This window comes from Homo sapiens, chromosome 2 (genome assembly GCF_000001405.40).
Source record: "Homo sapiens chromosome 2, GRCh38.p14 Primary Assembly".
Classification (NCBI taxonomy): domain Eukaryota; kingdom Metazoa; phylum Chordata; class Mammalia; order Primates; family Hominidae; genus Homo; species Homo sapiens.
Window position 1 is genome coordinate 122864000 of NC_000002.12, and position 24856 is coordinate 122888855.

General features: G+C 37.4%; 1 long non-coding RNA gene across 1 annotated transcript; it reads left to right on the top strand.

Annotated features, from left to right (window-relative positions):
* Positions 1–10708: 10708 nt before the first annotated feature.
* LOC105373595 (uncharacterized) lies at positions 10709–23727 on the top strand. The gene is made up of 7 exons (XR_923292.3): positions 10709–10991; positions 12292–12606; positions 12700–13121; positions 14942–15228; positions 20943–20987; positions 22363–22413; positions 22547–23727. It is a non-coding gene; the product is annotated as an uncharacterized LOC105373595 (long non-coding RNA).
* The last annotated feature ends 1129 nt before the right edge of the window (positions 23728–24856 follow it).

The following is a 24856-nucleotide window of genomic DNA, read 5'->3' on the forward strand; positions in this document are numbered from 1 at the left end:
TGCGAACATAAATAACATTTAATAATTAAATGTCATTTCTAACTATTAAAAGTGCTTGCATGTGGATTATTAACCAGTTGACAATCATTCATGGGAAGGTCACTATGCATATCTCGTTATTGTAAAGGAGTGATAAAAAAAAAGGTTGATCATTATTGGGTATTGGATCTGCACACTGATTAGATAGGAGGGGTCCCAAGGGAGAGGCGAAGTTGGCCAGCAGTGGGGTGAGCACGGGGAGTGTTGGGGCAGTGGCTGTGTACCAGTCATATAGTCAGATTATGACACTTGAGCAGCCCTTTGTTTCTAGTGTTTTCCAGCTAATACTTACACTGGTTTAAGCAAGGTATCTTACAGGATTCTCTCAACAATCTGGTGGTTTGTGTTTCTTTGGCAATTGAAATAGATGCCCAGAAAAGTTGTGATTTTCCTAAGAACATCCAGCTGGCTGTGAGCAGTACTGAACTCACATCCAGATGAACTGGACTAGAAGAGCAGGCTACATGTTTTTGAAATTTCTAAGGATTGTTAATATTCAAATCTTCTTTCTCAACCTGGTCATATAATCTCTGATATCACCTCCTTAAACTCATCTAGTAATATTTCCCATCTTCAGAGCCTAAATGTCAAATGTCATCAGTTTTATGCTTTTATCTTACAATAATATAAAATAAAATGACTTTACTCAAACCACATTGCAAAAGCATTTTTCCAGCATATTAACCTTTTTATAATTGTTGATATGGAAGAGTTTTAATTCCGTCATAGGTTTTATGCATTTTAAATATTGAGTCTTGGACTGTGCTGATATTTTTGGTAAATAAACAGAAAGATGTGCAACTGTGCTGACATTACAGTCTGGAGAAGTGAGAAATTAACTCTGTAGGAAGTCAACATGATGTCAGATCAATGTGACCACTAAATAGATGAGAGTTGCCAGGGCAACTTTTCACATGCTCTAAGCAATGTGATGGTTTGTTTTCCTATTGATGCATATGCTACCCTATTTTGGCTAACATCCAATTCAATTACGTAAGTATTTATTGCACCCTTTCTACATATCCAGCATATTTTATAATTTTCTGACATCATTCATATATCTATTCAAAAACGAAGGCTTACACATAATGAACTGGCTTAGACTTTATCTACTTTATCTACCAGGAAATTGATTCTTTTTGTAAAAATGACGAGTTCCATCGGCCAGGATCTATACCAAATTCCGAAGCCAAGGATATGTTAGAAAATATTTTGACACACCAGCCTTTACTTGATCTGTAGTATAAAGCAAGAGTTTCTAACTTGCCTACTATCTTTTTTTCTGCCTCTGAGATAACATATACAGGTTGCTGTTATGGCCCCTTTAACCATGAGTATACCAAGGGCAAAGAGGTAGAAGTGAGTACAGGCACTTTAGCTAAACATTTAGTTGAGTTGAGTTTAACTTTTGGTTTAGTTGAAGTGCCTGCACTTAATCAACTAAAAGTTGGGCTGCTTTTTGTTATTACTGTGCATGGCCAATCCAACTCAGTGTATTTAACTCATAGACTCATAAATCAGTGCATTAACTCATAGACAACTGTGTATCTTGTTTGATTGATTGATTGATTGATTGATTTGTTTATTTTGAGATGGAGTCTCACTCTGTCGCCCAGGCTTGTGCGTTCTTGGCTCACTGCAACCTCCACCTCCCGAGTTCAAGTGATTCTCCTTCCTTAGCCTCCCAAATAGCTGGTACTACAAGTGTGCACCACCATGCCTGGCTAGTTTTTTTCTTTTTGTATTTTTAATAAAGATGGGGTTTCACCATGTTGGTCAGGCTGGTCTCAAACTCCAGACCTCAAATGATCCACCCGCCTCAGCCTCCCAAAGTGCTGGGATTACAGGCATCAGCCACCGCACCCGGCAGTATCTTGTTTTTTATTTTTTTTCTTTAACTTTCTAAGTATGAAGGAAGCTACGATTATTCTTTCCAAATCTGTCAGGTCATTCCATTCCTCTGCACCAAACCCTGCAATGATCCCCCTCTCCGTGCAGGAAAAAAAACACCCACAGTCCCTTCAATACATCCAATATGCTGTGTGTGCTGCCCTATGGTCTCACCTCCTCCCCACTGCTCCCTTTCTTCCTGTGCTCATTTACTGCCCCTCAGGCCTTTCACCATTTAAACAGCTGTGCCCACTAGCCTACCTGACCACTTTGTAAGGATGGCTCCCACCACCTGAGTCACTCTTTCATCTAATATCCATGCAGCTCCACAGCTCTTCTTTCAGTTTTACACAAATACTGTATTTTCATTGTGGTTGCCCTGACTGCTGGGTTCAATACTTCAGATCCCACACCTAGCATGTCCAGCTCCCCACATCCTGTTTCATCATATTAGATCACTTAACATCTTAAAATACACTACATATTTTGCTCACTTATTGTGTTTACTTTATTTTTCCTCCCACTAGAATATAAGACCAAAAATAAAGATGATTGTCTGTTTTGCTTTTTTGTCTCCCTGATGTATCTCAAGTATCTAGAAGAATGGCACAGAGTAGGTGCTCATTTTTGTTGTTAAATCAAAGAGTGAAGGAATGAAAGTTAATCCTGAATCTTGTATTCTGTCCTATCATTATTTTAAATATCTTAAGGATGCTCTTACAAATAAGTACTAAAAAATAGCAGGAGAAATCTATGCCATCCAAGAAAATCTCTGACAAGCTGTCACATGTTTGGACACCTTTAGTCAGTTGAAGAAGAAGGGGAGTTGTGGTCTTCTGGGTAAAGAAGTTGCCCTGGGAGGTGACTGGAGACCATCTTACACAAAATAACTTGCCTTGATGCGAGAGAAGCCGGAGCAAAGGATAGTCCTTTTCAGATCAGGTCAAAAGACCACCTACAACGAAATCTCCAGCCATAGAGAGGGGCATTATGTATGGCAGATGCCAGACGCCCACTATTTAATCCAAAGAAGACCAGAACTGGACCAAGTGCACTAGAATATCTGCAGATGGGACATGGAGACCTGTACTTCCTAGCAACCCAGGAGACCCTGGCTTGACCTAAACTTTACCTGGATAATTCTATTTTCTTTTTTGTTTTGAGATGAAGTTTTGCTCATGTTGCCCAGGATGGAGTGCAATGGAGCGATCTTGGCTCACTGCAACCTCCACCTCCCGGGTTCAAGCAATTCTCCTGTCTCAGCCTCCTGAGTAGCCGGGATTATAGGCATGCTCCACCATGCCCAGCTACTTTTTGTATTTTTAATAGAGACGGGGTTTCACCATGTTGGCCAGGCTGGTCTCGAATTCCTGACCTTATGATCCGCCCACCTCCGTCTCCCAAAGTGCTGAGATTACGGGTGTGAGCCACTGCTCCCAGCCTGCCCTGAGAATTCTTACCAATGGTGAGGCACCAAGCATCGGATTGGAGGGAGAAGGGTTGGTATAAAAACAGAAGAAAAAGGAAGAAGATGGGAGGGACATAAATCACAAATGGGCTGAGAAGCTCTATTATTATTGTTATTATATATTATTTATTATTATTAGCTTCATTTTGCAAATAAAATAAACCTCACCACCAAGCTCTAGCAGCAAAACATTTGCGGAGCACCACTGTGTGCTTGGCCCCAGGCACACCTGCCATCTCATCTCTATCGACACAGATTGTTCATTTTGCAGATGAGAAAAGTTGATAATAGGAGAGATAAAGCAATTTTCATAAGATTGTTCTCTCATTAAGCAAATATTTATCAAACACCTTCTATGTTGTCTGTGGGTGGGGCATCCTGAGAGGAATAAGGGAGATGAGGTTTCTGCTCTTACAGAGTTCACATTCAGCTGGGAGAGGCAGACCACAAAAAGCGACTAATCAATGATGAAGAAGCTTTGAGGTCACGGAGAAGAAAGTGCGTGGAGAGCTGGGATGCAGTGTCTGGAGCCTGGCTCTGGCCTTTCCTCTCCTCTGCTAGGCTGCAGTTCTGGGCAAGAGCAGACTTCACTGAAACCCACGCTGGCTGTGTTAGCCAATGTGTTGACAGCACCCTGTGTAAAGAAGTCACCCAACACTGCATCAGTGTGTAAAGTGGAAACCTAACAATCTCACAATGTTCACGAAACGCTAAGGACATCACAAGGAATGATGTAGTAAAGTTTTTCCACTGATGTCATCTTTGGAAGTAGATTTTGCTCAATTCTTATTGGAACATGTGCACAGCTGAACTTCAAGATCCTTGGGTTCTCAGCTCAAATCTATATAAATGACTTAACCAATTGCTTAACTTTCTGGAATTCAGATGCTTTAACTGTAAAATGGTTTGGAGCTCTGAATGGAGTATTTCCAAATTATATCTAACTGTGAAAATTCAATGACATAGAAGATTTAGGATGGAGAGGAAAAAAAATAACCTACATAACGTACAAATGAATAAAAATTATAACAATAATAATATAAATTTATTAAGGTGAGATTTAAAAGAAAAAAGATTGCTATTTTTTTATTGCTAGTTAAAGCTATTCTTGGAAGATTTCCAGGTACTTTTTAAGTGAAACGTTGTGTGCATGAGATGTCCTTATATCTTTTTCAAGTATATAGATGGGCTCTATTCAAAAAGGGCCTCTCTTCTCGTCTTATGCCCACCTGCCATCTGAGCAACTATATCTATTTTTTGCTGGGCTACGTGGAATGATTGTTCTTTTTATGTTCTTGCCTAAGAACACACACAACCACAGCACTCCTGACACTTAGAAGGAGATGAATTATATTTAACCGAAAGGACACTTGCTTGACTAGGACTGCTAAATGTGTTAGCTGCAGGGAAGGCCAGCTGCCTTCTTGGCCATTTGGACATGCCCAATCTTCTCTTACTGATGCACAGATGTCTGAGGCCTTGTGGGTGAATCCCAGTGTGCTTGCAGCCAGGAGAAGGTATTGTGAGCGGTGCTGAGCATGTGAGGTGACATATGGTTCTCCTTCTCCATTTGACAACTTTATCAGCTTCTTTCCATAGTTCAAGTTTGCAGCTCTGCAGAACCAAAGGCTGCTATTCAAAATAGCCTCATCACCTCTTCCTTACTCCCTCAACCTCCAGCCCTTGTCCAATTGCCTGGATTGGGAAAGTTCTGCAGTGGTTTGAGCAATCACTTAATAAGACGGCTGTCGGTGGTAAAACTGGAATTGGTTGTTGCTATTGTTGCGGCTTTGGTGAGTATCACAAGTAAGCACTGGAAAATTAGAAGCACCCAGAGGTTTTAGATAACATATATGTAATGGACAATCATGTCAGGGACCCATTGATTCCTATATAGAAACACGCTGTGCCGTAAGTCTCTTTACTTGTATGTATTATAAATATTTAGAAAGGAAAAGTGTGTGTGGGGGTGTGTGTGTTTTATACTCAAAATGAACTTTTTGATCACTACAAAATTCATTTGGTATGGTAAAATTTAGAAATAATCTGGAAGTTAAAATTTGAAGAAATATCAATAATGGCCCTTTAATATATAAACATATTATTACTATTATAAAGATTATATAGCAATATTAAAATAATAATCATCTAATATTCAATGACAATGGAAAATATAAAATATCTATACTCATGATATCTCTAACAGTGTGTGTATATGAACAATGTGTGGAAAGAAACACATTGAATTGTTGATATGTGATAGTGGTAGGACTCTTGTTCTTATTTTAAAGCTTAATTTCATTAGAATAGCATCTGCAAGGCATATATCAAAATATATGTTTATAAGGTTTTAATAAATAAGAATATGAAATAAGGTGCATTGATCTCTTATTATGTGTCAAGTCTTTGGGCCGTTCATGCTCACAGCCATGTTGTGAGGCAGACAGTATGCCCATTTTACAGATGAACAGACCAAGGCCGATTAACCAAGGTTAAATTAATTGTCCAACTGTAGCTACAAAGTTACGATTAGAAATAAGTTCTGGTGTTCTGTTGCATACTAGGTTTAGTGTGGTTAACAGTAAGGTATTGTATATTACAGAATAGCTAGAAGAGAGGCTTTTGAATGTTCTTACCACAAAGAAATGATAAAGACATGAGGTGATGAATGAGCTAACTACCCTGATATAGTTTGGACATTTGTCCTCTCCAAATCTTATGCTGAAATGTCATTCCCAATGTTGTAAGTGAGACTTGGTGGAAGGTAGTGTATTATGAGGGTGGATCCCTCATGAATGACTTGGCACCTTCCGCTTGGTGATGAATGAGTTCTTAATCACATGAAATAGTTCACACAAGATCTGGTTGTTTAAAAGTCTAGGACCTCCTGTCTCTCTCTCTCTCTCTTGCTCCCTTTCACACCATGTGATACTCCAGCTTCCCCTTCCCCTTCTGCCACTATTGAAAGCTTTCCGAGGCTCCCACCAGAAGCCAAGCAGATGTTGTTCACAGCCTATAGAACCATGAGTCAAATAAACTTCTTTTCTTTAAATTACCCAGCTTCAGGTATTTCTTTATACCAATGCAAAAATGGCCTAGTACATACCCTGATTTGATCAGCATACAACACATATACAAATTAATGTACCAAATCATACTCCACAAATATATAAAATTACAATGTGTCAACTTAAAAAGAATTACATATTTGATTTACAAATTTTTTATTCCTTTTAATTCTATCTCAGTATTTTTTACAATCTTTGATTACTTTCTCATTTTTCTAATTCCATCTTTTATTTGTTTTAAATAAATATTTTAACCAAAACTGTTAAAAGAAGAGCAACGTGCACCAAATTAAGTTCAGTGCTCTTTCAACAACATGAAATTTCTATTATGCAAAGTACTGAAATGAGGTACACAAAAAACTCTTGTTATCTTAGAGCGAGTCTATTGTCAATGTGTCTGGAGAGACAGAGAACAAAAATCCTAGGTCTCAAAATAGATGATTCTTTTTTTGGAATAGTTTACTCCTAAACAACTGATATACATGTTTTTCTATTGTATTTCAAATAGGTGAAGTTATTTTCACTAATCCTGTCGGTGCTCACAGCTAAGTCCTACAATGACAGATCATCTACCAGCAATCTAGAGAAAATCAGTTTTGTGTATAGAGAAATAAGTTCCCCTGGCCCACCATGGCCAGCATATGACAAGGAAATGACAGAGGGGACTGACTATCTGGGCCAGGGGAACAAAGGGAGGTTTGCAGAGATTCTGAGGGTACACGCAAGAGAGTAGGGAGCATTTCTGCAGCGAGAGGTACTTGGCCATGGCTACAGCAGACAAAGGATGGTCAGGAATACTTTAGCCACAACGTTAGCACAGACATTAGCAGAATGCTAAATCGTGGGATCCACCATAACCAGAAGAATGCTAGATCAGTCCCACCTCAGCAAGGACTGGCAAGGACCCCCAAAACAAAGAAAAAATTCAAGGACTCTGTCACTCCATACCACAAGTTCACAGGAGCCCTTCATCCTCCAAACAGTGTGATGCCACACTGCGGACATACAGATGAGGGCAGAATTGATGAGACTGAAAAAGTGCCTAAAGGGATTATTTACAATATTGGTTTGGACACAGTTTTGAACCAAATTAGACTAAGTAAATTTCCATTTTTATCATCAAATAAAGGATCATGAAGGAACACCACGTCAGTTTTAGACAAAATGCGTTCTATATCGGCATACACAGATCCCCCTCCATACTGTGTATATGTGTTTACTCATATATAGATGTGTGTACATGCATAGTCACATACCTTATTGACATTACAACTATCATCACAATGGTTTTCACCATACTATAGCACAGACAAATATTTTTATTTTATTTTATTTTAGTTTAGTTTAGTTTATTTATTTATTTTTTTTATTTTTCAGACAAGTTCTCACTCTGTTGCCCAGGCTGGAGTGCAGTAGCACCATCTCAGCTTACTGCAGCCTCAACATTCCGGGTTCAAGTGATCCTCCCACCTCATCCGCCCAAGTGGCTGGGACTATACGTGCATACCACTACGCCCAGATAATTTTTTTATTTTTTGGTAGAGACAGCGTTTCACCATGTTGCCCAAGCTGGTCTTGAACTCCTGGGCTCAAGCGATCCACCTGCCTCTGCCTCCCAAAGTGCTGGGATTACAAGTGTGGGCCACTCACCAGGCCAAATCTTTTGATTACAAATCTATTTGCTCAATTCCTAGTTCTGTATTCAACACTGATATTGTTGTTGTTTTAGATCACACACAATTCACATTGAGCCAGTAATGTCTTTGAAGCATTACTGAAATAAAAATTTCAGCATATTCTCAATAATTTTGCAGCTCCTCCAAATTTAATCACTATATAGAATCTTTATTTACAGTTTTAAAATTGCACTAGCCATCTCTTCCTTCACCTTTTTTTAAACTGTACAAAACTGAGAAGGCTGAAATTATATTTTTCTCATAATTTTACAAACATACCTACTTTTTCTACCTAAAATTATCCAGAAAGTGCTTTCTTCTCTATGTGTTGTGTGGAAAGGCTTCTATATGCCTATTTTTGAAGAAAATAGTTCACTTTTACTCCATTATATGAAATTTTTTCATTATTTAAATCCTGTGATTAGTTTTTTCACTGAATAGTCACTTCCATAGCAGTTTGGTTAAAAATTCTACAGTAAAAGTAGTAAGTGTTGGCCACTTACCACTTGTAAAGTGTATGGGCATAGCTGTATGTGTGTGTTTATACATTTATATACAGATGTGTGTATATTAAATATGTAATGTAATATAATACAAATGGTCTCTGACTAATGAAGGTTAAACTTATGATTTTTTCACGTTACAATGGTGTGAGATTGGTGCACATTTAGTAGAAGCCATACTTTGAGTACCCATACAACATTTCTATTTTTCAGTGCAGTATTCAACTAATTACATAGCTCTTCAATATTTTATTTGTGTATTTTATGCACATATTTATTTTAATACAAACGTACAGCTTTGGTCAAATGTTTAATATTCACTGTAATTTTATGGGTGACATTAGCAAGATCTATTTGTCTAAAAACTCTTTCTTACAAAAAAACCCACTTTAAACTTCTCAAATGCCCCTCCATCCCATTTTTTTAAGTTTCTAATAAACATAAAACATATTTTTAAAAGAAGAAGAAAGGCTCCAGAAGATCAGAACAATACAACTGGTTTTACCAAATTCAGGCATTTAGAAATTGAGAAAAGAGGCAATTTTTAAACTTATGACATGACAACAGGCATAAAACAGCCTGCTATGGACAAAGCAGCAAGTGTAGTCAGCCTGCTAAAATTCAGCCTCTGTGAGCACAGCACTTAATTTTACCCCTTATTTTTTAGTAGAAATAGGATCTCAGAAATCACCGGACTTCTGTATTGGTCTCGTTGGAAGCTGCAGACCGGAACTGTTTCTATTTGGCCATCTTGGCCCCCCGCCGCCAATTCTACTGTAAAGACACATGCACACGTATGTTTATAGCAAAGACTTGGAACCAATTCAAATGTCCATCAATGACAGACTGGATAAAGAAAATGGGGCACATATACACCACGGAATACTATACAGCCGTAAAAAAGAATGAGTTCATGTCTTTTGCAGGGACATGGATGAAGCTGGAGGCCATCACTCTCAGCAAACAAAGGAACAGAAAACCAAACACTGCATGTTCTCACTCATAAGTGGGATTTGAACAATGAGAACACATGGACACAGGGAGGGGAACAACACACACCGGGTCCTGTTGGGGCGTGGAGGAAAAGGGGAGGGAGAGGATTAGGAGAAATATCTAATGCATGTGGGGCTTAAAACCTAGATGACAGGTTGATAGGTGCAGCAAACCACCATGGCATATGTATATCTATGTAACAAACCTGCACATTCTGCACATGTATCCCAGAACTTAGAGTAAAGTAAAAAAAAAAAAAATAAGAATCGCACTATGTTTCCTAGGCTGGTCTTGAACTCCTAGCCTTAAGTGATCCTCCTGCCTCAGCCTCCCAAAGTGCTGAGATTACAGGCTTGACCCACCATGACCAGCCCAATATGGCTTTTAAGAAGAAGCTGAGCCAGCCCCACCTGTTTCGTTTGGTTCTGGTGCTGGCCTGTGTTTTGACAACATGCTTGTAAGAGTTTTAGGTTCTGTCAGCATCAGCAGACACAGCCCATCCTTCTCTCCAAATGACTGTTCCCTTAGGCACTTGAGTCACTTTTCAGTAAACATCTGCATCATACTTCAAATCCTGTTACTAACATTTGTGTCTCCAAAATTTATTCTCCAAACCCCAAACCCCGCACACTTTAATGCAGGCCTGAAGTAGATGGAAAAGGGGAAATAAATGATGTCACCATAGCTTATCACATGACCTAAATTAACTTTTCATGATTGACCAGCATTAATATTCACAGATTTAACAATGCTTTTTAAGAAAAAACAACAGTCCAGAAGTGATTCTTTCTGTGTGGTAGATATAGGTCTGTTTATTTTTAAATGTGTTTTTCTTTGTACTTTTTCGTTCTGAAAACTCTTGCATTTTCATTTAATATCACTCATTATAAAGTTTATCTCTGAAGTAGGATGTATTTTCTGATCATATTTTCATTTCTTAGAAATATATTGTATTTTAATACCTCAATTTTATCAGTATTTTTATATATACTTGTTTGCTTGGGGGAAGATATGAGTGAGAGAAGCTTTGCACTTCTTTCTCTATGGGTAAAAAAATAAAAAGTTAATTTTAGCATTAGAATTTATTTTAGCTTACTATATTCAGGGGAATGCAAATAGCAAAATTTCTATTCTTCTCAACACTCTTTCCAAGATGAAATGTGCTCAGATTGTTCAAACCTAACTTAATAGCTATTAGAATCTGTCTTGTCGAAAGTCTCAGATTCTTTATTTTACTCTTTGTAGCAGCAGGACTCTTTGGTCCAACTGCCCGAAAAACTATTGTCAAGAAAATGCCCAGTGACCTCCAAACTCCTGACCTTTCAATTACCTCAGTGGATGGACCGAGAGAAAGGTGACTTTTAATAAAACACAAATAATATCACTAAACCATCAAAAATTGAATCCCAAGACGGTTTCTCACTAAATTTTATTTTCCCTGCCTCCCTCAAAGGAACTGTGTATTGAAGTTCTCCATCTGCTGATGATCTCTTAGGCTTATCTCGGTGTAGTACATCCATTTAGCAATGCAGATAATCAGCATTTGCAGAATGGCACTCAGTTTTGCAGCTGAAAAGATTAGAGTATACAATCCACCATTCATTCTCAAGGGAAGGAGTCATCGCATTGAAGCAGTCTAATTATGGCCATCAGTCCAAATGGCATGGTGGCCAAGGATCAACCCCACCAGCATAGGAAGTTCCAGGCTCCAAGAAAGCCCAGAGGTTTTGGAATTAGTGAGCTAAGTGAGTTTGCCTCATTCCCACACATCTTGCTCCTCACTTCCTTTACTGTGCCCTGTGGTTGGTGACATGACTGCATATCTGCCACTTCTCACCACTTTGTATATTCACCCTGCCTTGTCTTGATTTCTCATCTTGATAATTCTCCCATCTTTTGCTCAAGACACTTTTAAACAACTCTCAGAGTAACATCCTTCTTTGGCCCTAGTGAGCATTTGAAATATGTTCTATATTCTAAAGATCCAGAACATGTGGGCATTTTCACGATCCAGCCTGTCACCATGTGTTGTTTAGCCACACGTGTTCAAAGCAGATTTCGAGTTGAGTTATTTCTAGCTGGGCACAAACAGGGTTCCATTTTCATAGGCCTCACTCTTCCCTACTGCATTACATGGTTTCTTCTTCACTTCTACTACACTACTCCTTCTTTAAATTACAGAAGCTTAAACATAAACAAAAGTAGAACAAAGTGGCATAATGAAACACCACAAATCCATTACTTTGCTTCAAAATTTCTTAGTACAAAGCTATTATTTTTTATACCTACATGCCTGTGCTGTAAAATAGATGGACTACTTTGAGCCAAATCAAAGACATCTTATAACTTCATTGGTAAATAGCTTGTATTTATAAGTAGGTAAGAGACGTTCACTTTAAAAAGCACAAATCAAATATCAATTAAACATTCAAATCTCAAGAATTCTCACAATCCCCACCCCACCCACCCTCCTCTATCTTCTCCATCCCCATTACACTATCACTCTTCATTTGACTGGTTCAAATCAGAAGTCAAATGAAGTTGACACGTTGTGTTTGGTTGATATGTCAACAAAGTCACTTATAATTTATCATTTCTTATCTTGTAATTTCTTTTTGAAAATGTTGAGTTTATCACATTTGCCCTTTTCCCAGCAAAAGGCATCCCAGTGTCTCCTCACTATGGAGTGGAAGGAGCAAGAGGTTTATAATAGCATCTTGTTATATTGAAGTCACAAGCTACCAGCATCTTCTTATATTGAAGTCACAGGCAGGATTTAAATTCATCTTATATGTAAGTATGGTATCCCAGTGTGTCAGTGAAGAGACAGATGTTACTGAGATCACCTTGCCCAGGGACGCATCTCCTAATATCTGCAAGGATGTCCTGTATACCAAAAGTATAGCTTCATTCCTTCTAATCCCAAAGACTCTCAAATAAAGCAAATCTGCGGGAGGACAAAGATGATGGTAAGCACAGAGGAGAATGGGTATCAATCACTTACATCATTAGGAAGGAGTGAAATCTTACAATGATCTTTCCCTCTGCTTTCTTCCTTTCAGGTGATCTAACTTCCTGTGCCAGCATCATCATTTTACAATAAGATTTGACTTTGGTTAAAGTTTGAAATTCTCCTCTGAGGAAACACATTTCAGGATGTTATCTTTCATGCATACCTTATCATGAAGAAAGGATCCAACTATTCATAATCTAGATTTCCACTGATTTCTTTAACCACAGTTTGATAACAACCACCAGTGAGGTAGTCAGGTCCAGGTCTTATGGAACTTTATTCTGTTCATTGGGAATGTGGGTTTTATTGATGAGGGAGTGATAAACTATTGGAGAATTCTCAATTGTGGCGTCATGTCTTCTGAGTTATACTTTTACAGGAATGATTCTGGTTGCTCTGAAGGAACAGATAGATGTGGGGAGACAAGAATAAAAGCAAGGAGGCTTGTAACTGGCTGTTTTCATACTAGAGGTGAGTGAGAGAGTTTGAGAGTTTGATCTGGGCTTTAGAGGCCATAGTCTTACTTTATCACTTTTACAAGGAAAGAAAGAAAGGCCCATTGTAGTAAAGTGGCCCCTTTAAGAGGCCATAGTAAAAGGATCTCAGTCCTCAAATATATAAAATAGTATATATTTTTTAAAAATTGTAAAAACCTTTGCCATTCATTTTCTGACTTAAAATGCCTGATGAGGTTGTCTTAGTTCTCAGATTTCAAATCTTCTGATCTATGCATGGCACATAAGTTCCTCACTGAACAATTGATGATTAATTATAAATGCCAATAATGGTTATTGTTTGAGAGGAGATGACTGTGGATATGGAGAAGTAAACAGAACACTCTCCTTTCTCTTTGACTTCATTTAACCAATTTTTTCTTTCAAATCATTTTCTAGTAAGAAACCACCTACAAATGCCCAGAGGATTGCTGCCTTATTTAAAGTATTATAAAACTTATTGCATATGCATAACGTGACTGTGACGTGGAAACTTCTCAGCCTTGCCCAGTCCTTTTGAAATGTTAAGCTCACTGTAAAAATGATAAAATATTGTTATTTTCTCTTAAGAAATAATAAAATTAAAACCCAAGAAGGAAAAGACTCTGCTAATAAATAACAGTGTCAAATTTAAAGAAGATATTTGCATAAATATTAGGTTTAACCAAATGAAATTGCCAATATTCAAAAGTTTTTAACCTTCAAAGCATCGGTTTCATATGGTTCCGTCTATTACAAACTCTTGCTCCTTCCAATCCACTGTGGCAACCTTCAGAAAGATGGGGGATATTAAATGTCCTTTTGTTCTCACAGAGTATCCTTTATGTTGTGAACATGGACTTAGTTATCACTGCCACTCTGTGGGCTTTTATGATCTATTATAACCTTTACTATAGTGCAAATATCTGTATATATAAACACATATATATATAGCCTATTAGACCCTGAATATCTTAAAGGCAGAGAAAGTCTCTTATTTTCCTTTTATAACTAGCAACTGGCATAGTGACAGACAAGAATGGATGCTCCATATGTCTTTGTTTAGAATGATATAAATGCAGGGGTTGATGAATCATATTCTTTTAATAATCTTATAAGAAGCAGTAATGAGAAGCCATTTTGACAACAGGCTTTTAAATCAGACACCCTGGGTTTAGATGTGAATCCGATATTTACTTCCTATGGAAGTTGGGACAAGTTGCTCAAACTTGAAGTGCCTCAGCTTCCTCATATATGTAACAGACAATACTTACCTCACAGAGATGTAGTGATAATTCAATAAGTTATTGCTTAGAATAGTGAGTGGCATGTAATAATTGCCATATACATGTTATATGTGTTTGATTGTTATTTTTAATAATTGTTTGTTGAATTGTGATTCCTGTGTGTGTGTGTGTGTGTGTGTGTGTGTGTGTGTGTCTTGTGGAGGTAGTGATGGCAGTGGGAGGCTGTTCTCACTAGTGTTGCTTTCAGAATTCGTTAGCACTAATTTGCCAGCCAATTACCTGGGAAGTATGGCATCTGGTTGAATAAAGGAGTCATAATTTTTATAACTTTTGTTTTTGTGACCCTTTGCAATTTTTTGAACATCCACAGTGAGTCTCAGCAAATAAAGCATCTGGAAATGAATATTAGTTGCAAACTAATTGAAGCAATAACACTAAAAAAGATTAAAAAAGGATAATTGTCATGTTTGAGATCCCACACAATAGTGCCAATATCCTGTGCTGAATCTTTTCTGAGGCCTGAAAACAAGGTAAGGGGTCATTGCAGGCATCATGTGATTCTTTTTCACAGGAACTTCAGGACTGAATCCTGCAGTAGAAGCAAGAACAGGCTATTGGGAGACTCTGGTCCTCAACTGCACAAAGAAGGGCCCATATCCTCAACTCTGCCACAGACCTCTTTGATTCCAGTTGGAAGCCTGGAGATTTCACTGCTGCTGAGGAGGGTTCCAGGGACTGGGAAACCTGAGCTGTGAGCTGAGCTTGGGTGATCTGTTTCCATCTGTGGTCTGGTGCTGATGGTTTCCAAGGCAGGAATCAAGTCAGTCCTTGAAGAGCTACAACAGAGCAAAAGTGCAGGTATGAGAGCATAGATGGACAAAAAAAAGCAAGTAATCATAATCAGAGAAGAGCTGGAGCAGCTAGGAAATTTAGAAGAAGAGAACAGGTTACAATAGATGCCGTGAACACAGCGATGGTTCTAAGACTATGCCCATCTTGTTTACTTCTGTGGCTTCAGTGCCTGACAAATACATAGTCAGCACTCATCAAATATTAAATAAATACATGCATGAATTGTCAAAAGGAGGTGACACTATCCAACCACTTAAAGTATAAATTTTTCCAGATAGATACAATGCTACAGATACATTATCAAATAGGATGGAGGAACTAGAAGATTAAGAGAAGCATTAGATTGCTCTACTCTGGAAGTAATCTCCAGCAAGATAAGGAATCAATTCTCTTTGCCCATTTAATTACCATATTTCCTGAAGATTTAGAAATATTTTATCTGGCTCCCTGGTCCTAATATTTGAGGAATCTATGATTTGATAAATGGAACAAATGCCTTACAGAGATATGATATAGCCAGGGTGTCTTGGGCAGAAATACGTAATTGGTAAAGTCAAGATGGTGGAAGGTAAGCTCTGTTTCTGAAGACAAATCACATCCCTGTACTTCAGACTTGATGGGTGTCTATGAGCAAGAATGTTTTCTCTATCTGAGCCCCAGGGTAAAAGACAAGACATGGAGCACTCTAATGTAGCCAATCGACTCAGAATATCTCATTTTAAATATATTTTTTCATATTAGATGTGCGAGTGGGAAAGTAATTATGAGGTCACACATCCTTTCCTTAGGTAAACCAACATTTTTTTACATTTAGGAAGAAACTGAATAAAACTGTCTTTTGTCCAAGTTAATATACCTTGTGAACCCCAGCTTTTTGTTAAGAAAACAAAGTGCTGTGACTTATTTTAAACAACAGAAGGGAAACATGACTTCTGATTCATAACTTCCCTTAGGCTTGAGGGTCTCTGAAAGGAGAGCTGGAAATGCTGAGAGATGTGAAGATGCTTTGGGAGGGCACAGTTTCCCCTTTGCCTTATGGGAGATTATAAAGTTTCACAGACTATCACCACTTTACTTTAGAATTTTCCTCAATACTTCCCTCTAGAAGTTTGCAGGGAAGATCTCTTCTTGGTTATTAATATGTTTCAGAAATGACAGGCTAAAGTTCTACCTACCCAGATGGAAGCAAACTGATTTTTGGCTTCTCTGTTTGAGTGGCAGCCAGTGTAACCCTGGGTTTCTGGTTGAAATTCCAATGCAGAGATTCCCAAGCCATCAGCTGGAAGACACAACTTTCAGCAACAACTCTGTTTGTGCCCATCAGGAAGTTGGATGAAATAATTTTAAAATATGGATATCTGTACATCCAGATATTTTCAGACAAGTTCAGAAAGATTATTTTATAAGGGATGCAATTAGAAAAACAATTATTACAAAAATTGTACTATATTTAATAAACCTCCTCCTATGTCTCCTACAATGTGTGTGTTATTATCAGATTGATGGGAACATCACTGAATAATCAGATCAAGTGAATTTGATTGGTGAGAAAAAAATATGCTCGCTTATGAAATTAACAATTGGTCATGACACAGAGTAACAAAGATTTTATTTATTATTTATTCTATTATAATGTTTAAATATATAATTTTATGCAGATTATGCATTTTGCATAAATTCTGTTATGCAAAATATAAATTCTGTTAAGTTCTATAGAGGGCAGAAGTTTGATTTAAGACAAATATGAGAAAATGTTCTTTCATGACTGAATAATATGATTCTGGTAAAATAAGTGTCTCTGAGAGAAGCCTCAGACTTGTGTTTTTATGGGAAGAGCGAAATTCTTCTTGCTTGAGGGCAACCTTTTGCAGAGAGGAAAAATAATAGCAAGAAGGAAAGGTGAGGACTACTTTTTGATAGTGGAAATCAATCTGTGATTCATCACAAAATACAAGTCATCTGGAGCTACAAATTTATGGGTGGTTTAAATAGCAAGAAGCAGAAAGCATATACTTGGGGATAACTGGAAAGAAGATCAGAGGTGACCCAAGTTTCAGGAATTGAACTAAAGAGATGGTTGGAATAAAACTTTTTCAGTGGAAAGGCAGAAGAAGGGAAGTGATTTTTATTGTCTACTTTACAACACGCTTAGCCAACATTATCTCACTTTAATCCACACCACAGCCGTAGCCTTTCACAGTAATATCATCCACATATCACACAGGGATAGATGGGGTTATGTTAGATAAATTGTCCATGACCACCCAGTGAGTAAGCAACAGAGCCAGAACTCAAACCTAGGTTGTCATCCAATGTCAGGCATTTTTCAAGTTTGGAAAAGGGGTCTATACTTCTAAATATATAGAGCAATATTCTGAAGAGAAGGTTAAATAATATGTTGAATGGAGAGAACTTTATCCTGTCTGAACAACCTCTTTCGATCTATTTAGATTACATGTGAAAATAAAAATGTTCTGTTTTTTCTCTATATGGTAAAGAATAAAAGTACATATGTTTATCAAAGTGTACAATATTCTAAATCAGGAGTTCTTGAATAAATTAATTACTACATGCTAGAATTCTTAGAAATTTAGATTACACACTTTGTTTTTATAAACAGATATTTAAATAACATCGGTCTTTGCGTATCTATGCACACGCGATGTAGAGGATATTTTCACCAAATGTAAGTGGGATGGAGGCGGCAGTTTGTTGACTTTTCCTCCAATCTTTATTCTATTTTAAAGCCTTTAGGGAATTGTTCCTTCAGAAACAACGTCAGATACTGTCTCAAAGAAGCTTTTCTGGAAAGCCCTGATATTAAAAACAAAATGAGAGCCACAAACAACAAAAAGTCCAGGATGTCCAGAGAAAATGGTCCATCTTCAGGCATTCCTGAAAGCAGACCATCACCAACTTTGTCATCATTATTATTATTTGCTCAGGCATTTCTAAGGAGATAACATCATATCTCCCAGGAACTGCCTCAAAGGCCCAATCCACACAAGGAAGCCCTATGCAAAATTTTCAATGAAAATGCATTGCCTAGAGTAAAGATGGAGCATTAAGAGAAGATGGAGGCAGAAGTAAGGATCTATGAGTAAATCAATGGCCATGAAAACTGGAGGCACTAAAAGAAGCTGGAACAAAACAGGTTGAGGTCAAGATCAGAGGTAGGGAATGCACTGGTGAAATATACAAGCTACGTAGGGTTAGATGGTTCAAAGGAAGGCCTTTTCATGCAGGGTTGTACCTAATTGTAGACTTAAAATTGAGGCTTATGGAATCACAGTAGTGGTTGACCCTAAATGATTATGTTATTATTCTTATCCCCTCATATGAATTTTTTAAATGACTTTCTGCTAAAGACGCATTTCTATTTCAAAATTTAGTATCATTATCTAACTCTGACTCTCTTCCTAATTCTTGTCCTTCTAAATCATTTTTGAGAGCTAATTAGGTTGAGTGCCATTTTCAACTGCTACTTTGGAAGATAAGGTACATGCCTGCATATTGTGCGCTTACTGCTGTGCACATCTGTGCTCAATATCAATCTGCAGGGATTCTGAAAATTAACATCCCTTTAAAGGCAAACAGGATTACAGGGAAAGCTATGTATTATTACTTGGTGTTTGGTTTTACGGATACAGCCTGGATTTCAATTGAAAATAGTAAGAAAATTAGAAAATATTTTCTCTTTTCTAAAAATGCTCCCCTCCTCCACACACACATAGAAAAATATAATTAGAAAAAATCATATCTTAAAAAGCAAATAAGTACTTTAAAAATATATTCATAGCTTTGAAAGATGCACTATGTCAATATAAAATTAAATCCATTTTTATTGTCAAGAAAATGGGCTAATAGAATTTTCTACCAATTTTATGATAATTGGCATATGGATAAAACAGAAAAAAACAAAGTCTTGATTAGAATTACTGTATCTGGAGGTTTTAAGTTAGGGGAAAAAAAGTCAACTTTTTTTTTTCCTCTCTCTCTAACAGTTTATCACAAGCACAGTTTCCCCCCACTACTTTCAATTTTATATTCTAGGTTTTAGACCTCTGAAATCTGAGAAGATCTGTGCCTAGGGGAAAGAGACTGCCTTGAAGAAACATGTGTTTGTGACTGAGTCTTATCAGAGTATAAATAACACAACTGTTTCCAAGAAGAAAAGATCAGATAACATATAGTCAATTGTAGCCTGCAGGGTTGAAAGAATTGACAGGTTTTATTACTTGCTCAAATGAATCTTTAATACTTTTTGTTTTGTTTTGTTTTGTTTTTGAGACGGAGTCTCTCTATGTCGCCCAGGCTGGAGAGCAGTGGTGCAATCTTGGCTCACTGCAAGCTCCACCTCCCAGGTCACGCCATTCTCCTGCCTCAGCCTCCCGAGTAGCTGGGACTACAGGCGCCCACCACCACGCCTGGCTAATTTTTTGTATATTTAGAAGAGATGGGGTTTCACAGTGTTACCCAGGATGGTCTCGATCTCCTGACCTCGTGATCCACCTGCCTTGGCCTCCCAAAGTGCTGGGATTACAGGAGTGATCCACCGCACCCGGCCAATACTTTGAAGATAGTAAGAAAAGGAGCAAGATCGGTAGTTAAAAACACCAGAGAATGTTGCTAGAATGAGCTCCACAAGTGTATGTTGAATTCTCTGGTGTTATAGTTGGGACGACAGAGTAGACAGAGGGAGTGATTAAAGAACAGAAACTTAACACACCGGAGCACCCTTGTTTGTCCCGTGCTTTACAGTCTTCATTTAACTTATCACACACATAGCAAGTACAGTATAGACAGAAACCAAGACAATATGCTATAAGATTGAGTAAAAAGGAAAGTGATTTAAAAGAATAAGGAAGCCAAAAAGGAAGCAGTTTGTGGTCGCCTGAGAGATTTGTGACCATAAAGCAGGGGCTGGTTAATATTTTCTGCAAATATCCAGATCGTAAATATCTTAGATTGAGCAACTATTCAATTCTGCTTTGCTGGTAGGAAAGTTGCCTAGATAATATATCAACAAATGGGTTTTGTTCCAATAACACTTTATTTAGGAAAACTGAAATTTGAATTTTATATTATTTTCATATATTACAAAATGTTTTTCAAGCACTAAAACATATGAAATCCATTCTGTACTCCTGGATTACACAAAGGCAGGCACTGGGCTGGATTTGTCCAGTGGGCTACCATTTGCTGATCCCTGCATTAGGGCCTGTGCTTATACCTTGACTTCAGGTATCTGCAAGGATAAAGAGGAGGAACCCTATAACACCCTCAAGTTCTCTCTGACCACTGTGATTTTTAAAACACACTTTCTTTGAATGGCTATCTTTTTCCTTTAAGAGATAACCTCCACATTTAGAAACATAGACACTAGAAGGTCTGGCAAATGAAAGAGAATTGTGGATTATTTTTCCATTGAATGATTTAAAAATAAATAAAACAACTTTGATTGACATCTGGTAGATTAAAAAGGCAAGATTTATTTCCTACAAAATAAAGAAACTGACACATATGTCAGACACACGTGGCATTTCTGATGTGGAAAGAAGGAAAGACATCAATAAGACCAATTAATTTACTTTCTTTAGCTTTGTGGCAAGTCACCTAACTCGTCAATCTGTGTGCAGGCAAATATGTATTACATTGTTCTGTGCTAGGATGGTATTAAACATTGCCACTTTTTAATTTACTCTTTATTATACTGACAGGTAAACAAAGCAACACGAAGGCTAAATAAAAGTCATTTCCCCAAGGTAAGTTTACAATGTTGGTTCATTTACAGTTTAGTGGTCTTGAAAGTGAAGAGTTTATTTTGTATTGTTCAACTAGCTTGCTTTGCTGTGGATACACTTGCTCAATATTAGTTATAAATGTAATGGACATGTCTATATAAGAATGAGTATAGGTCCTATAATGTTTATTTAACCAGGCTGAATAATGAGAAACATCCTTGTCATCTATCACACCCTTCAAATAAAAAGATGAGCAACCCTGAGGGTGCGTTGCTTTTTCTTTTTTTTTTTTTCTTTGAGATGGAGTCTCGGTCTGTCACCCAGGCTGGAGTGCAATGGCATGATCTCGGCTCACTGCAACCTCCAACTCCCGGGTTCAAGCGATCCTCCTGCCTCAGCCTTCCGAGTAGCTGGGATTACAGGTGCACGCCACCATGCCCAGCTAATTTTTGTATTTTTAGTAGAGACAGGTTTCACCATGTTGGTCAGAGTGGTCTCGAACTCCTGACCTCGTGATCCACCCACCTCAGCCTCCCAAATAAAGCTCAGCGGTACATTGCTTTAACAACATTAAATTGCAAGGTCTATGTCTCATAAGAGAGCAGGTTAGGACTAGTCTCCACAGGTCCAGTGGCAATATCCTTAGTATCATAAACAATACACTCAGACCATTAAGACATACTGGAAACAACATTTTGGTTGCCACTATTTCCACTGATGTGTACCAGAGACATATGAAGACACTTTTACACAAGTTGCATAATAAAACCAAAGCAATGAATAAACTTTGAACATTTGTGACTAAATGATACCTACATTGTATTTAATTATATTATGCATATATACTGCATTTGACTCTCACTCCAAATATGTTAGAAACTTTTCATATTAAAATATAAAGCTCTATTTTCATTCAATAGATGATCCTTAGTTAATTCAATGAGTCCCATTCATTGATGAATTGTTTGCCTTCATTTTGTGTTAATTTTTTTGTCATTTTTTTCTTCTCATGAGTTTTGTTACCTGATATGATAACCTTTCCCAGTGAAATATTTTAATTTTATCTAGCTATACATTCTTCTAGATCTTTTTTGGTTATAGGCATTTTTAGTTTTCAATCTGTGATTTTTCTGTAATTAATTTTTGTAAGAACTAAATTAAATATTATCTTTTTTGAATTATCTTAATGTCTCACATCACTTATTGAGTAGCCTTTCTATCCTCGCTAGTTTAATATTACTGCAATTTTTACAAATTGAATAGCCATGTGCATTTGTATCTATTTCTACCTCTAGATTCTACTGAACTGTCCAGATATGAAATAACTACAATAAACAGGCTATTACAATATTAATAAACTATCTTAATTGTCTTGTTACTATTTTTTCTGTTACAGCAAAATAAGGGTAGGGACCTTCAGATGGACAGATTAGCCTGGATTAAGCAGGTAAGCCCAATAAATCACATGAGTCATTGACTATGGTGAACTTTTTTTCTGGCTGGGAGCAAGAGACGCAAAGATGGAAAGGTTAGAGAGATGCTATGTGAGAAGACTCAATATTCTGTCTCTGGCTTTCCAGATGGAGAAGCCGAGGATCAAGGATCGGGCCAGGAGCCAAGGAATACTGCCACCTCTAGAAGTTGGGAACGGCCCTCAGCTTACAGCCACTAAGAAAAGGGGGATTTTGGCCCTCTAGCTGCAAGGAATCTAATTCCACTTGAATTAACAAGGAACATCCAGGCAGGAATGTAGCCCTGACAACACCCTAATTTAGGCCAGTCAGGCCCGGACAGACTTCTGACCCACGGAATTCTAAAATAATTTGTGTTTCTTAAACCATCAAATTTGTTGTAATTTGTTATGGTAGCAACAGGAATCAAATATACCTCTCTACTTTTACAAGATATTGTTGTCTGCAGCCTGTTTGAAGTCGGTGACTAAACACAGCTGGTTACTATGGCAGGCCCATTCTGAAGAGTTGCAGGACACCCTCGGGAGTACTTTGGTTTGAAGCCTCCTCATCACCTCGGCTGCCGTTTCTGGGATCTGGGTTGCAGTCTGAGGCTCATTTTTCCAATTCCCAATACTTCCTACTGATGATATTCTTGAGAGTCAGGCTTTATCAAGAGAGAAAAAGGACTTTAAAATTTTCAAACTCCTTTTTAAATATCAGAGATTTTTTTGGCCTACTTTGATTACAGGTCCTTACTTATAAGTCTCTCCTTCCTAGGGAGAAAATAGAAAGCTTTAAGAGACAGATTACACTTTACCTGACATTCATTTTTGCATGCCTTGTTAAACATGAAAGAATGTGTTAAGGCCATTTTTTATTGTTTAATTTGTTGTTTTGACTTTGGGTGTGTGTGTTTGTGTCAATTATTTTTTAATCTACTAGAACATTCATTATCCTTTTTATTTTGGAAAACAAGGGTGAGAAAGGTTACGTGATCTGGAGGTAAAAATACACCATTATGTAAAGTTGAAGTGTCATCCCCTGAATCCACATTGCACATCTATAAAGTAGAAGAACTTGTCTTACTCCAGTGTTTAGTATTCGTTAGGTTAATGTTTTTCAAACAAGCTTGATAGTAAGAAGCATTTGAGACTTTTGTTTAAAATACATCCCCCTCTACCACTGAAAGTTTAATTTGGTAAGTTTGTTTGGACATACAGATTCTGTATTTCTAAGAAATATTTAGATGGTTTTTATCAGACTTGGAGGTCCTCTTATTGAAAATAAAAAAGTAGACATGCTCACGATGAAGTTTACCTTTTCTTTCTATTCATCTATTTTAAAAAATATTTATGAAAAATGCTTGCCTGCTGCTTAGCTTGATTTAAGAGATAAACTGATCAGACAGAATGTCAAGCCAGCCAGCATCTCCTGGTCTACACCAAAGCCTTTCCTACTTCTTTCAAACAGTGAAGGCACCAGGACAGAGTGTAGGGTAATTCTCCTTTCTACCCTGGCTATATAGTATCTAGTTTATTCCTACTAGCCTGCCAGAGAAAAATGTATAAATTCATTCTATTTTCTCACATTTTCCAGCAGGCTGCTGTACATCATGCATCATTCATTCTTTCATTTCTTTAAAATATTATTATTGGATACTTATTCTGTGACAGATACAGGAATTATAAAGGTGAGATGAATACTTTTTCTTCTTTCTTGTATAGAAGAGACAGACACAAAGGCAATGAATGAAATCATATGATTAATGCTTTCAAAAAGTAAGTATATTTCCAGCTCTGTGAACTCTAGAGGTACAAGCAACTAACTCTTTCTGGTTAAGTCAGGGATAGCTTCAGGAGCACAGGAAACTGAGCTGTATTTTCTGTTTTCTAGGCAGTGAAGAGAAATGTAGAGGGCTAGAGAAAATACTCTGCAAAGAACACCGTACATTTCCGTCCTCTGGCCATCATTAGCTTCCTTACCATACATCTTACTGCATTTAGTGTTATTTGCCTCAGTGACCACTTAGGGAACTTGTAGGATTGACCTAAGTAATATTTGTAATTTGAAGAGAAAGTAAATGTTGTAAGTGGACAGAGTTCCCGAACTCCTTGCTCTGGGCTGAAAATTGGGCTTGGCGTAAAGTTCATGATATATGGAATAGAAAATGCTTTATAAATACCACATCTGGAACATTCCAGATGAATCGTTATATAAAATGAAGATTTATTGAAGACTCCCTGATCCATATGAAAGTGTTCATGCATTTAAAAAACATTGATTGCATTTATAAATGCATTGCTTGTGGGATAAATGAGTGAAATAAATGGAAGAGAAACATATTATGAAGCAGCTTGTTAAAAATCGTGATATTTAGTCACAGCAGCCATGACCCTTGTTCTCAACAAAATCATTTCATAGAGCCTTGAAAAAGAG